Source organism: Homo sapiens, chromosome X (assembly GCF_000001405.40).
Source record: "Homo sapiens chromosome X, GRCh38.p14 Primary Assembly".
In the NCBI taxonomy this organism is placed as follows: domain Eukaryota; kingdom Metazoa; phylum Chordata; class Mammalia; order Primates; family Hominidae; genus Homo; species Homo sapiens.
This window is the reverse complement of record NC_000023.11, coordinates 6184954-6199643: the sequence shown is the minus strand read 5'-3', so window position 1 is coordinate 6199643 and position 14690 is coordinate 6184954. Positions and strand designations below refer to the sequence as shown.

Below are 14690 nucleotides of genomic sequence, written 5' to 3'. Positions count from 1 at the left end.
TGAGGTTTAATCATTTACATTCTAACACTAAAGCTACAAATCTGCCGTGCAGTGTTGCTTACTTCTACTGCTCACTGGATGGATGAGTCTATGTGCTTTTTAAATTCCTTATAAAGATGTGGGTCAAAACTAGCAGTGTGGTCAATAAATTAATTTCTTGAGAGTTTATCAGAATTGTGGGATGATTTGGGAGGAGCAAAATTGTGTAAAATCAATCCTCTATTTTTAAACTTATTCTTCTAAAATTCTAAATAGAATTTTTTTATTCATTAATATTTTCTTGATTTCATAATGCTAAAAATTAAGTAAGATGAATGTTGTGTTGAGAAATGGGAGCAAATCCAAGACCAAAAATCAGATGATTTATTAAATTTGCAAGTTAAAAAAATAAATACAGTTTGAAAGATTGCTCTGTTTGAGGAAAGGACATACAATTTTGTTGAGATAACTTAGGGTACAAATCAAGGTCATTTATGTTCATTTGAACATTCATATTCACATCCGGAAATATCCAGAATGACTACACTAAAACCTGCAGGTAAATTCTTTTCTCAGCTGAGCATACCATATTGTTGTAGTTAATCAAGAAATCTACCAAAATTAAATTTGTCCTCCTACTTTTTAGTTTAGAAATTTAGGGGGTCACTGGGACTCAAAAGAAAATTCAATAAATAATGGACCATCCTAGAGATACTTCTTTTTAACTTAAAAATCCCTCTGAGATATCCTCAGGTTTTAAAAATACCTTTGTATTTTCCTGTTTTTGTGTGTGTTTGTGTAGGCCTACATCTTCATATTAGTCATCAGTGTTGTCAGAACCTTGGCTAGAATCATAGTCTAGACCTCTTGAGGTCACTGGGTGGTTGGCTACATTTTCCACCTCTTGCTTTTCATGGGTCCCACTCTGAGAAACATGCTCCTTCTCTCTCTCTCCTCTTTCAAGGTCATCTTTGAGGACATCTTCTGAAGCTTTTTCTGAGATGCTGCCTCTTCTGAGCACGACACTGTCTATTCTTGTATCACCAGTATAGGAGCTCATGCAATTTGTAAGCACTTGCCTTAATGATGCGCTCCCTGAAAGACCCTGAGGAGAGGGATCAGGTGGCGTTCATCTTTAGGATCCCTTCCCTGTCCTCACAGCACATTCATGGTCCACGTTCAGCAAACACTTGTACAATGACATGACTTAGGGTTTCTAGACAATCTGTATTGTAATTTCTGTTGATATAAAGGGATAACATTAGCATCATATGAAAAGTCAGAGTTCTATCAATGTCATCTTGATGAAAATATTTATATCGTTATATCTTATGTCCTAGGTGTCTTCTTGACTGACTACCCAGGGCGAGTTGGAATGGCTATGTGCATCTCTCTGAACCCCCAAATCTTTAGTTGTAATGATGAACTTACATGGAGAGGCTTATTCGAAACGTCATTATAGTGTGGATGATAACCTTCTTAGTTTCCACAGCTGATATTCCTCCAAAGTTTTGTATGCTTTGACTAATGTATTCTCTTTATGCTAAGCTTTCTTTAAAATGATATGAATGTTCCATAAATGCTGATTTTTTTTGTTTTTTGAGACAGGGCTTCACTCTGTCACCCAGGGTGGAGTGCAGTGGCGTAACTACAGCTCACTGCAGCCTCTGCTCCTGGGCTCAAGCAATCCTCCCACCTCAGCCTGTGGAGTAGCTGGGACTACAGGCGTGCACCACCAAACCTCGCTAATTTTTGTATTTTTTTGTAGAGACAGAGTTTCGCCATGTTGCCCAGGCTGGTCTCAAATTCCTGAGCTGAAGCAATCCTCCCTCCTCAGCCTCCCGAAGTGCTGGGATTACAGGCATGAGCCACCACGCCCGGCCCCATAACTGTTAGTTTAATTAGCACCTTTCTGCTTTAGTTCATGTTGACTATTGAAAATCTATCATCCTGTATAATTAATGTTTTTAAAAGATACTTTTAGATAGTGATCAAAAACTTATTTATTAAGTAGAATGTAAATTATTACAAATGATATGAATACCATAGGATAAAGTTTTTATATGACAACTTAGATTATAAAATGCAATTCTAGCCAGGCACATTGGCTCATGCCTGTAATCCCAGCACTTTGGGAGGCCCAGCAGGCACCAACCGCTTGCTTCCAGGAGTTCGAGAGCAACCAGGGCAACATAGTGAGACTCCGTCTCTATAAAAAATACAAAAAAAAAAAAAAATAGCTGAGCATGGTGGTGCATGCCTGTAGTCCCAGCTATTCAGGAGACTGAGGTGAGAGGATTGCTTGAGCCTGGGAGGTTGAGGCTGCAGTGATCCAAGGTTGCACCGTTGCACTCCAGTCTAGGCAACAGATAAATATGAGTACAAATGGCTGATCATCTTCATATTAATATGAAATTGCATTTTTTGATACAGGATCTCGTTCTGTCTTGTGGCCTTCTGTAATAGGTTATCTTGTCCAAATTCTGGAATAAAGTCCAGAAGAATTTTAATCTAGATAATTTATTCTTTAACCTTTGAAATATTGTATCAGCTACATGACAATGGCTTATAACTAGCTCTAAATAAATGAAATAACGTTTGCGAGAGTGAATCACATCACTGAGAACCAAGGGGAAACATGAAATAGTGATTATTTGAACAGAGAGTGTTAGTGGTCTGCATTCTGCCTTGCACCCAAATGGCATCACCTATGGGTGTGATAAAAAGCCCCTGCCTTTCTCTCCCTCCTCAGTGCTTGGGATTTCCAACAACAGCAAAAGAGAAGCCAGGAAGAATGCTGTGTTGTGAGTACCCCCAGGAAGGGTTTTCCTTTATGAAGAGGCAGACCTAGTTAGGAAATACATAACCATGGACTGCAGGAAAGACAGTTGAGTCTGCATGGAGGATAGAGACCAGGGACCCCATAAAAGGAGAGGTGGTGACCGAGGCCTGCAGGATGCATGGAAACATTCCTGACCTCAAGGGCAGCAACTGTGAACACACTCCTACTAGGCAGAACTAGAATGGATGAACAGAGTTCTTTTCAGGGAGACTCACCAGGTAGATGACTACACATGAGACACTTTTTTTTTTTTTTTTTTTTTTTTTTTTTTGAGACAGAGTCTCGCTCTGTCGCCCAGGCTGGAGTGCAGTGGCGCCATCTCGGCTCACTGCAAGCTCCGCCTCCCGGGTTCACGCCATTCTCCTGCCTCAGCCTCCTGAGTAGCTGAGACTACAGGCGCCCGCCACCACGCCCGGCTAATTGTTTTGTATTTTTAGTAGAGACAGGGTTAAACCGTGTTAGCCAGGACGGTCTTGATCTCCTGACCTCGTGATCCGCCCACCTCGGCCTCCCGAGTAGCTGGGATTACAGGCGTGAGCCACCGAAACACTTTCAGTGGGAATATTTTGTTCCATCAGATTTTAGCAATATCGGATTTGAAAATAGGGGAAGCACACACAGATACAATTAGTTTCACCATCTCACTTGTGTATTTAAACAAACCTGTAAACAAAGCTAAGCGAACCAAGAAACAAACAAAACCTCAAACCTAATACAGTAATAATAGGCTGGGGGTGGTGGCTCATGACTATTATTAATCTCAGCACTTTGGTAGGCTAATACAGAAGAATTGCTTGAGCCCAGAGTTCGAGACCAGCCTGGGCAAAATAGTGAGATCCTATCTCTATAAAGATTATTTAAAAAATTAGCCAGGTTTCGAGGCATCCACCTGTAGTCCCAGGTACTTGGGAGGCTGAGAGGCAGGGGGATCACCTGAGCCTAGGAATTTGAGATTACAGCCAGCTGTGATCGTGCCATTGAATTCCAGCCTGGGTAAAAGAGTGAGGTCTGTCTCCAAAGTTAATAAATAAGTAAAATAATAATAATAATTTTTACCGTATCACAAAAAATATAGCCAGTCAGATACAATGCACACTAATTATTGTAAAATTTTCTGAAACACACATACATCACTAACTTGATAATTGTAAATTTAACACTGATTGGAGGGTGTGAACAAAGGTATGATCAAGTAAAATAAATGTATAGGCAATTTCAAAGTCTTAATAATACAATTTCAAGAGCTAATATTAATTGAGCATTTACTATATGCACACTCATGCATCATGGGACTGTGTTTGGTGCTAATATCACAAAACTTTATTTTTTCTTCCACTGGTAATTTTTGTCACTGTTGAAAACTGTTTCAGCCATGGATCCCCACAGTGCGGAGATTGCGGGATGTGGGAGAGAAATGATGGTCTCAATCCCCACCTGAGCCAGTGTCCTATGGCAGGCAGGTGAAAGCCAAGCCACCCAGCTTGAGTTCTGGCTCCACTTTTATAGTTCTGTGGTGTTGGGCAGGTTAGCTAATCTGTCCCTGCATTAGTGTTCTCAACTAATGGGGATAAAGCTCACATATACCTTATATGTTTTTGGAGACAATTAAGAGTTAGTATATGTAAAGAATTCAGCAAGTTAGATGCTGACCCACTATGTACATATTAGCTATTATAACTTATTATTCGGACAAACAGCTAATGCATGTGGAGCTTAATACCTAGGTGACGGGTTGATAGGTGCAGCAAACCACTATGGCACACGTTTACCTATGTAAGAAACCTGCACATTCTGAACATGTATCCCGGAACTTAAAGTAAAATAAAAATAAAAAATAAAAAAATAACTATTATTACTACTATTATTAGAATTGTTTGGATGAGGAGGTAGCTTGATATCTTGAAAAAATGCATGGTCTTTGGAGTCAAGATAGGTCTTACTCCCTGCTTCAGTGAGCTGCGTTACTTAACACCTGGATATCATTTTTTTCCCAATGTAAAATAAGATGTCATAATAACTCCTGCCCTTGGCTGTAGAAGGGTCAGTGAAGATGAATGTTATTATGATTGTTGTTAAATATAAATTCATTTTTACAAATACAGTTTCATCAACAATATTTATGATAATGCCTATTAATAACAAAATGTGCTAGGTGTTATGAGAAATCAAAAACATAGTTAAAATATGATCTTGTCTTCCTGTAATTTAATAATGTGCTGGCTCATTAGCTATGAAACCCAAAGGCCTTATCTACTTTGTATTAATATTTTTTCAAGCATGGAAGTAAGCCCAGAAGGGTATTGAGTGATGTATCCTCTTCTTCCCTTACCATCTTTCCTATAGATGCAAAATCCTGAGTGTGAAAGGCCACGTGGTACTCTGTTAGATATCTCGCAGGTGTTACTTATCGATGGTTCTTGCTTAAAAGTAGAAGGAGGAGTGTCGCATGAGACGCATCCTATAAAGAGAGCATTCCGGGTGAGATGGCAAGAAAAACTCCGAATGGTCCTGAGATGATAACTGATCCAATGGAGATGATATATCTGTTCAGTTGACGCAAACATAATTGCGGTTTATACCCGTGAATGTAAGGCAAAAACTGCAATTACGCTTGCACCAACCTAATATATATATCTTTTGGAGACAGGGTCTTGCTCTGTCGCCCAGGCTGTAGTGTAGTGGTGCGATCACAGCTCACTGCAGCCTCAACCTCCCAGGCTCAAGTGATCCTCCCACCTCAGCTTCCTGAGTCCGCTGGGACCATAGACACATGCCGCCACATCCAGCTAATTTTGAGATAAGTTTTCTTGCAGTAGAGTCAATGGCAGTGTTGTTCTGACCTTCTGCCACAGCAAAACATCTCTGCAGGTTGAGGATTAGTTCTTGCAAATAAGTGATTTCTAAATGATTGATTGGTTCTTTTCACACATTTTGCAGATTTCTTTTATTAAACAAGTTATATCTAATGGAGAAATACAGTGAGTTGATGATCTCCAACAAAACTTTAATGCCACCCAGATCAATGCCAACCAGATTATGAGTTGCCCATTGGAAACCTCAAGGAGTCTTCATTGATTTTGTATTCTCAAACTGCATGTGTGTGCTAAAATGGTTGCATAGAGATTCCACATGCAGCCATGCATGTGTGTAGGTGCTCCCACTAGACTAGTTCCTTGACTTATTAGGGAACAAGTTAAGAATTACTTCATGTCATGATCGGCTAGTTCTTGTAACTACCCATAAGAAAGCTTATAAGGAATGTCACATTGGTTTTGAAACAATATCATCTCTTTTACTGATGGAGAGAGGTATGTTTTTCTTTTTTTTTTTAAATAGGGAACAATGTGCTAAGATGGAAAAAAAAAATCAAGTAGGTTTCCAGGGAGGCATTTTTTTTTTTTTTTTTTTTTTTTTGAGACGGAGTCTCGTTCTGTCGCCCAGGCGGGAGTGCTGTGGCGCGATCTCCGCTCACTGCAAGCTCTGCCTTCCGGGTTCACGCCATTCTCTTGCCTCAGCCTCCCGAGTAGCTGGGACTACAGGCGCCCGCCACTGCGCCCGGCTAATTTTTTGCATTTTTAGTAGAGACGGGGTTTCACCGTGGTCTCGATCTCCTGACCTCGTGATCCGCCCACCTCGGCCTCCCAGAGTGCTGGGATTACAGGCGTGAGCCACCGCGCCCGGCCCAGGGAGGCATTTTTAAAGGCACCATCTCAGAAGGACGAGGCAATGGTAAGTATCAGGAATAGTTATTGGCGAGTCCAGCACAGCAGTCAATGACTGTGTTCTGGACTGCACCGTTGGACTCGGGAACCACTGTGTGGCCAGGCTGTGGGCTCCGGCAGTTGTTCAAAACCCTGAACCTGGAGCTCAGACCAGAGGGTTGTATGGGAGGCTCACTGTCATTCATTGTAACCCTAAGAACCTCATCCTTCCTTGAGCCCGATTGTTCCCATCTGATCAGAGCTTAGATGCAAGATTGGGAAGAAAGGTGGTGGAGTTGGGGTCTGCCTGGAGGACAGCCCAGGTGAGTCATGCATGGCTGGGAGAGCAGTAGGTTCATTCTCACCACCTCATTTTTCTAAGGGGAAACAGATCCACAAGGGAGGGTCAGCCCCAGATCATTGGCCACACTTATGGGAAACATGTGCTGCTGTTACGCAGGCCCCTTCATTCTGTTTGCATGCTCTCCTTGTAACCCCTGGGCCTATCAGGACGCCAGGGTGTCTGTTGGAAGAGGCATCCAAGAAGGATCTTTAGGCTGCAGGATGGAAGCACACACTACAGCATGACCTTAGGTAGATGGTTCATTCATTACCTTTTAATATCTTCCTCTTTCTTTGCTGTCAAACATGGGTAATAAAATACCTAACCTGTCATATTATAAGAAGTAATTGAGGCCAGGTGCAGTGGGTCATGCCTGTAATCCCAACACGTTGGGAGGCTGAGGAGGGAGAATCACTTGGGTTCAGGAGTTCGAGACCAGCCTGGGCCACACAGTGAGACTTCATCTCTACAAAAAATTTAAAAATTAGCCAGACATGGTGATGCACACCTGTAGTCCCAGCTACTTGGGAGGCTGAGGTGGGAGGATCGCTTGAGCTCAGGAGTTTGAGGCTGTGTAGCTGTGATTGCTCCACTGCACTCCAGCCTGGCCAACGAGCAAGACCCTGTCTCAAAGAAAAAAAAAATTAGGTGAAAACAATGTCTATGCAACGCTCAGTGCCTGGTGATGTCTAAGGAATGCCCAAACTTTCTAGGTAAGGGGTAGGGGATGCATTGGGTGAGAGTCCCATTGGATGAGCATGAATGGGAACTCATCAATATTGCTGAAAGTGCCTGATCCAGAATTAAAATATTTCAACAGAAAATTCAGAGGAAACTTTAGAATGCTGAAAAATGCCATATTGGTCAGTCTTACTGGTTAATCGACTTTTCTGAAGTACATACACACTTTTTTTTTATTTGAGATAGAATCTCGCTCTTTCATCCAGGCTGTAGTGCAGTGGCAGAATTTCAGCTCACTGCAACCTCCACCTCCCAGGTTCAAGTGATTCTCCTGCCTCAGCCTCCCGAGTAGCTGGGATTACAGGCACCCACTGCAACGCTCAGCTAGTTTTTGTATTTTTAGTAGGGGTGAGGTTTTACCATGTTGGCCAGGCTGGTCTTGAACTCCTGACCTCAGGTGATCTGCCTGCTTTTGCCTCCCAAAGTGCTGGGATTACAGGTGTGAGCCACAACTTCCTTCCCACCCAGCTAATTTTTGTATTTTTAGTAGAGGCAGGGTTTCACCATGTTGACCAGGCTGGTCTCGAACTCCTGACCTCAAGTGATCCATCCGCTTTGGCCTCCAAAAGTGCTGGGATTACAGGCATGAGCCACTGTGCCCAGCACACACTTCACTTTGGATCAAGCCCCCTTTAGAGCATCTGAACTTCTTTTCCAGTCCCTTGTTCCACCCAGGCAATCCCAAGCCTGGTGCCTTCCTATCTCTAGCCTTTGATTTAGGCTATTCTGTCTGCCTGTGTGCAACATTTCCTTTCCCTCCTTACTGAAGTTCTACCCCATCCTGTGTTGCATGAGTTGATGGATAATTTTGAAAAAATAATTATTGGTAATCATTAACCTCTACTGACTTATTTCATTGATGCATTTTTGAGCCTGGTTAAACCAAGTCTAGCAGTGCTTTCGGATTACTTTGGTGGTGAAAATTGTTTACTTAAAAAAAAAAAAACAATTTGAAACAAATAAAAGTAGAAAGCAGTGGTTTCAAGCTCATTTGGAGTGTCCAAAGTGACATGCCTGGAAATTTAGGATTTTGAAATAATTGTCTGCTCCTCCTCATGGCCACACTTCGGGGTACATCTCATAAAGTAGACAAACACAGATGAAGGTCACCTGTCTGACTCACTGTATGTAAACCTCTCAGAAATTCACCCTTGGCTGCACTGCTCACCGGAAGTCCATTTTCTTCTAGAGTAAAGATTTGCAATGATCTAGGACTCAAAAAGTCCATCTTGGGCCATTTGAATGACCCCAGCATCTCATTTTACCCTTTGTATTTGTAGCCCCTGCAGAGTGGGGTTCAAAATGTCAGACAGGTACTACTAGTACAGGCAGAGGGGACACTCAGACCATGAGATCCTTCTCACTGTCTGGACATTAGAAAGAGAGCAGAGCCCAAGGAAAAGATATGGGTAGAATACTTTTGTGATATACAGCTGTGAGCCCATGTTAGTGGAGATATTTCACAATTGAAAATCTGGACCCTTCCCCACAAACTCAAATTTTAGAAAGGTTCATCTGATGCTTTCATACATCTCAAGTAAATGGCTCTGTCTTTTCATGGTTCAGCTGCAAATCTGAAGTCTTTACAATTTGATTGCTTAAATATTGGTTATTGACAAATTTTCTTATCAATTTGAATGTTGTAGCTTCCAAACTTTTGTCAAAATTTAGACCACAAAGGCCTTTTGAGTATCTCTTTAATGATTGCCAGATAATTTTCCTATCCATGGCTTTCTCTTTACAGAATAAAACTTCAGTATTTTTCCTTGATTCTAGAAGATTGTCAAGGTCATGTCCTTTATGGAACTCTTGTTTCCAACAAAGTTGATTTTTAAACATCTCTCCATATTTCCTGCCATAAACAAATACTAGGTTTTGTTTTTCAAAGATAATTTGTAATTTATAAAGAAAGATTAATGCTGTCCCACCTCCCCCATTTGATCATTAACATACAAATTGGAAGAAAATCATACTTGGAAAAATGATTGATCAGCTGTTTGCTATTTTTATCTAGTATAGATTTATTTGTCTTATCAAAGGTAAAACGAATAAAGGTACACATCATTTTTCATCAGCATATACAGCTAAATAATCAATAATGATACATTATGTAAATCCCTTTGGCTCCTGAATTACACGACTTTCTTTTTTTCCATTTTCTTTTTTTTCAACCTGGATGAGTCTTAATAAATAATCAAGGCCTGAAGTCTAAGAAATGTTTGTCTTCTCTCTCACACTTACAGCCTTTGGAACAGGAACCCAATGCAGCATTGGTTGTAATTATTTCAGTAGCTGCAGTGCAAAGCACATTCAGGTGAATATAATCAGACTGTCCTAGTTCCAAGGAGAAGCAGTAGTAACAGGTCTGGCATCAGGCTCAGAGCTATAGACGAGTCACAGCTTATAATATGATAGACTCACTTTATGAAACCCAAAGGGAACATTATATAAAGTGCACAATCATGAGAAGGAAATGAGAACTTCTGAACCTAGGACTTTTTTAAAATTGTTTTACCATATGCACTTAGGTTCAAACTACATTTGAAACCACTGGGCATTATCAGTATGTCTCTGCAAGAGTCAGCTACTGCTTTTGCTTAATTGGTAGCTGCATTTTCTCTTAAGGGGGGAATGCTTTGGAGTGTGTTTTCCTGATAATTTGGAGTGGTCTTTGCTGAATGGTGATCCTAGGTTGGAATTTCCTACATTGTACACCAAGAATCAGTTGGCTGGATGAAAAACAAGTGACAAAGGGTTTTTCCTTTCCCAGTATTCTCAAAATCCTCAGTAAGAACTGAAGGCATCATGACTCTTCAGTGACATCAGTTGTCCTTGAGGAGGGGTGGAGGATTTCGTGGAGACACACATAGGCCTGATAATGAGGACATCTATGCTGTAATCCAGCTCTGCTGCTAATTAGTTGTTTGCAATTACTAGGTTTTTGGTATGTTTAAAGACTGCAGAGACAGGCATTCATTCCTTTTCACTATGAAGAATGTGTGAATGTAAATTAAGAACCACAGCTAGCTGAGAAGTACAAATAATTTGTGAAGCCTATTTAATACTCGAAAATTTCAATTTATGTCAGTTCATTCAATTTTTCTACATACAGTTGACTGAACACTTTCTGGTTTTGTAACCCCTATTAGGGAAAATTCTTTGCAATGGATTTTCATGATAATCTGGATAGTCTTAGTGATCTTATGTTAGAATTTATTTTATTGCTAGGATGACTTAGTCCAATTCAAAACTGATGATCAAGAAAAATTCCTTTCATGGCATTCCTGAAAACATAATTTTTAAGTCAAGGGATGATCAGGATAATTCTAGGGGCCTGTAAGTTTGAACATTGAGATTGTTGATACTAAGTTCTGAACACATATTACCCAAATGAATCTTTTATTAAACATTTTGTGGTTTCAAAGGACATAGAGTAGTTATGCAAATCAATGTGGTGCAGCAACTACAGTATAACCTTCAGATGTTAGGGAATCAACGACTAAAAAAAAAAAAGGACAGTATTTGAATGTTATTACAAAGACACCTGCGATTCTTGAAGGACATTTCAAAGGCAGACAATGGGGTAAATTGTGATTGAAATACACGCGCAATCTCTATGATATGCTCCTTCCACTTAGAAAGTGGGATGAAAGCTCATCAATTGAAGAGTAATTGCTAAAAAAGATTTCTCCTCTATCTAGCTTGGGAGTATTTAGGAGCTAATCAGAGTATTTCGTCTTCTCGGAAATTAAAAGAGATGAACAGAGTTGTGCAGACATGGGGAAAATAAAGTTTAGTTTAATATTTAGATTTTAAAATTAGTACTTGATGGACATTTTAAAAAGTGTACAATTATCAAAACTTCAATATCTAATCCTTTTATGTAAACTATGGTGGATACATGGAAACACCAGGGACGGGTGCTGGTTCTTGTTAACTTTTCTTTCTCTGTCAGCCACAAGAGTGCCTGTCCCATAGCAGTAAACTAATAAGTATTTGCTAAATTAAGAAGTGGGAAGGGCGTTGTAGGTTATTGATCAAACGAAAATAAATATATTTTGTTGTTTATTCAAAAATTTCCCCGACTTAATTTTTTTAAAATGTAACTTAATTTTTTAAAGCTCATCTGTGTTTCTTTGTTTTGTGTCGAGTCAAAGATTATTTTATGTCAATTACCTTTTCATGCTGAGGCAACAGTTTCAGTTTTCCCATTCTGCAAAACTAATTTCCTGATTCCTCTCTCACCAGGGACCATTCCCCTCCAAAATCCTACAAGGTGGGTCCATGACATCTGCTAGAGAAAAAGAGGGACATGTTGGAGCGATAGGATTCCCATGGGCACTGACATACTGGCCTCTGGGGATAGGAAGATTAATGCTTAGTACAAGAAAGAAGGAAAAGAAGGCCTTGGCGAGGACTGTTTTATCTCAGCATTTCTCAGAAGCTCCTTCAGTGGAGACTTCGCCTGGGACCTTCGCCCCACCTTCTTCTAATGGCACTTCCTCCCTGTGGGGCTCCACGCGGGACATTACGTCGGTGATGCGTAGGGCATCGGGTGCGGAAATGTGTGCGTGCCTCCTGGCGTGTGCGTGCCTTCTGGCGTGTGCCTGTGCGTGTACGTGCGCATGCGTCCGCCTCCCGGGTTCACGCCATTCCCTGGCCTCAGCCTCCGGGGTAGCTGGGGCTACGGGCGCTCGCTTTTTTTTTTTTTTTTTGTATTTTTAGTAGGGACGGGGTTTCACCGTGTTAGCCAGGACGGTCTAGGAAATTTTTAAGCCACTCTGACTAAAGAAGGTGGAGTTGGCCGGGCGCGGTGGCTCAAACCTGTAATCCCAGCACTTTGGGAGGCCGAGGCGGGCGGATCACTAGGTCAGGAGATGGAGACCATCCTGGCTAACGCGGTGAAACCCCGTCTCTACTAAAAATACAAAAAAATTAGCCGGGCGCGGTGGCGGGCGCCTGTAGTCCCAGCTACTCGGGAGGCTGAGGCAGGAGAATGGCGTGAACCCGGGAGGCGGAGCTTGCAGTGAGCTGAGATCGTACCACTGTACTCCAGCCTGGTTAGAGTTTATATTTCCTTTAAATTTCTAGAGAAAACAGATTGTCATGTATTTTTATAGAGACAAAATACTGATGAAGGTGATATACAGGTAGCTTAATTATGATTTTTCTAAGATTTAATTAGATGGTAAATTTACAGTAATTATTAATATGTTCACTGCTTTTATTAAAAACCATCAATTCTGAATCCACAATGACACAAATGGTGAGTAAGGCTTATGTCTTGTATCTGTGTTCTTTCAGTGCTTAAATGTCAAGAGAAAAACAAAGACTTTTAACATGATTTTTAAGGAACGTTTTCATTCTATGGTGGTTTCTAATGTATGTGTTTGTCTTTAGACTTCCTTTATCCTTTTCCTTTCATCTCTTTCTCAAACTCATAAGGTTTCCTTTGTGCAGATACTTTTTTGCCTGTTTTTCCTCCCTAGTTTATGCTGCTTTTCTGTCAAGAGGCTATATTTCAGAATGGGAAAAAAGGGCAAGCATATATAGTTAAATGAATCATTTTACACTGTTTGTAAGTTATTATACATAAGCTAATGTTTGATCTCTGGAGGATAAAAATGAGCTCAAGTTTGAGCAAATGATGGTGCCGCACACATGCCCTACCTTATGGTGAGTCAACTATGGCCTATGGGTGGTGGCCAATTTTTGTAAATAAAATGTTTTGCAACCCAACCACACACTTAAATTTACATTTTCATATATGGTTCTTTTATACTACAGTGCCAGAGTGGAATGGTTGCCCCAGACACTGCATGGCCTACAAAGCCTAAAATATTTATCATGTGATCCTTTACCAGAAAACATTGGCAATGCATACTTTGGCAATTCATGGTGATCATCTTGGGCCTATGAGTTAATGCATCCGTGCATACATTTTAAATTAGAAATATGTAATACATTAGCATTAACAACAGAGCATATGCTTTTGTATTAGGAATTCTATGAATGCATGCACTACAACTCTTAAACACAGAGCAAGTTTAAAGCCTGGCATCTGGGGTGTATGGATGAGTGGGGCCTGGGAACACCCTTGAATTTTACCTGTAAAATTTATGTGCACCAGGGAAAGATTCAGTGGCGTTCAACAACACAAGAAGCTGCAGCTGGTTCGTGTGGGTTTTCATTGGTGGTCTCTAGCTGCTCAAGTGATGGATTCCAGTTGCTGGTTGATCTCTCTTAGGGCTAAGGTTCATTATTGCACAGATTGATCTTGGAGAAACATCTTGACTGTTTTTTTCACACTCCAATCCATTTGTTTTATGATCTAGAAGAAAGGAACGCTTAAATGCAAACAATTATTGTGATTTTTATTCCGCTTCACTGAACTTTTTAATGAAGTGCATTTTGTACAGTTAAAACCAGGGGGTTCCTGGATTCTATTTTTTGTGGGAATTTTTGAGAGAGAAGTAATTCTGACTCAGTACGCTTCCTTGGAGTGGATAATTAATATTAATGGGGAATGGAATTGTTTTGTCTTTCGCTGGCATGTTGTTCTCTGCCACACCTGGCATGCTGTGGACCTGTAGTAAATATTAACTAAATATATTTTAGACACAGATGATTAAGGATCTTTTGCTGAAAAACATTCTCTTAATCTTTTATACTTCCCTTTCCACAGTGCCTGCTGAAAACATGAATTTCAATTGTGTTTCTAAGTCTTGGTCAATTTAAGTGTGACATGGGGTGATGGGGAAATAGCAGTTAGGACTAAAGGTAGAAGGTAACATGATCCATGTGAATTGTGGTCAGTGCAAAGGCCTGGAACAGCGGTCACTCTTTCCTGTCCATGAACCTTTGTGCTATTCCTCTTTGTACACAGTTTAAAATATAAATAAGAAAATGTCATGCTGCCAAGTATGTATCACAGTGCAGGCCACGTAGAAGATGCTTTATATGTGTTGGATGCAGGCCAGTGTTCTCAACTCAGCAGTTTCAGAGGAAGTGAAACAAGCCCTGGCTGGAAACCAGTAGCCGTAAGGTCTAAGTCCTGGCTGAGCAGTCCAAATGGGTTCCCTAA

General features: G+C 40.7%; 1 protein-coding gene across 17 annotated transcripts in view; it reads left to right on the top strand.

Annotated features, from left to right (window-relative positions):
• NLGN4X (neuroligin 4 X-linked) overlaps positions 1 to 14690 on the top strand; it is a 338826-nt gene that overhangs the window by 29224 nt on the left and 294912 nt on the right. Inside the window, exon 2 of one of the 17 annotated variants that reach the window (NM_001282145.2) lies at positions 11855 to 12161. The exons of 14 other annotated variants lie outside the window; for them this stretch is intronic. The gene's annotated coding sequence lies outside the window, so the exon portion shown is untranslated. Of the gene's footprint in view, positions 1 to 11854; positions 12162 to 12577; positions 12873 to 14690 lie in introns of those variants that run through there. 2 more of the 17 variants (XM_047442282.1, XM_006724504.3) reach the window with 2 other exon arrangements.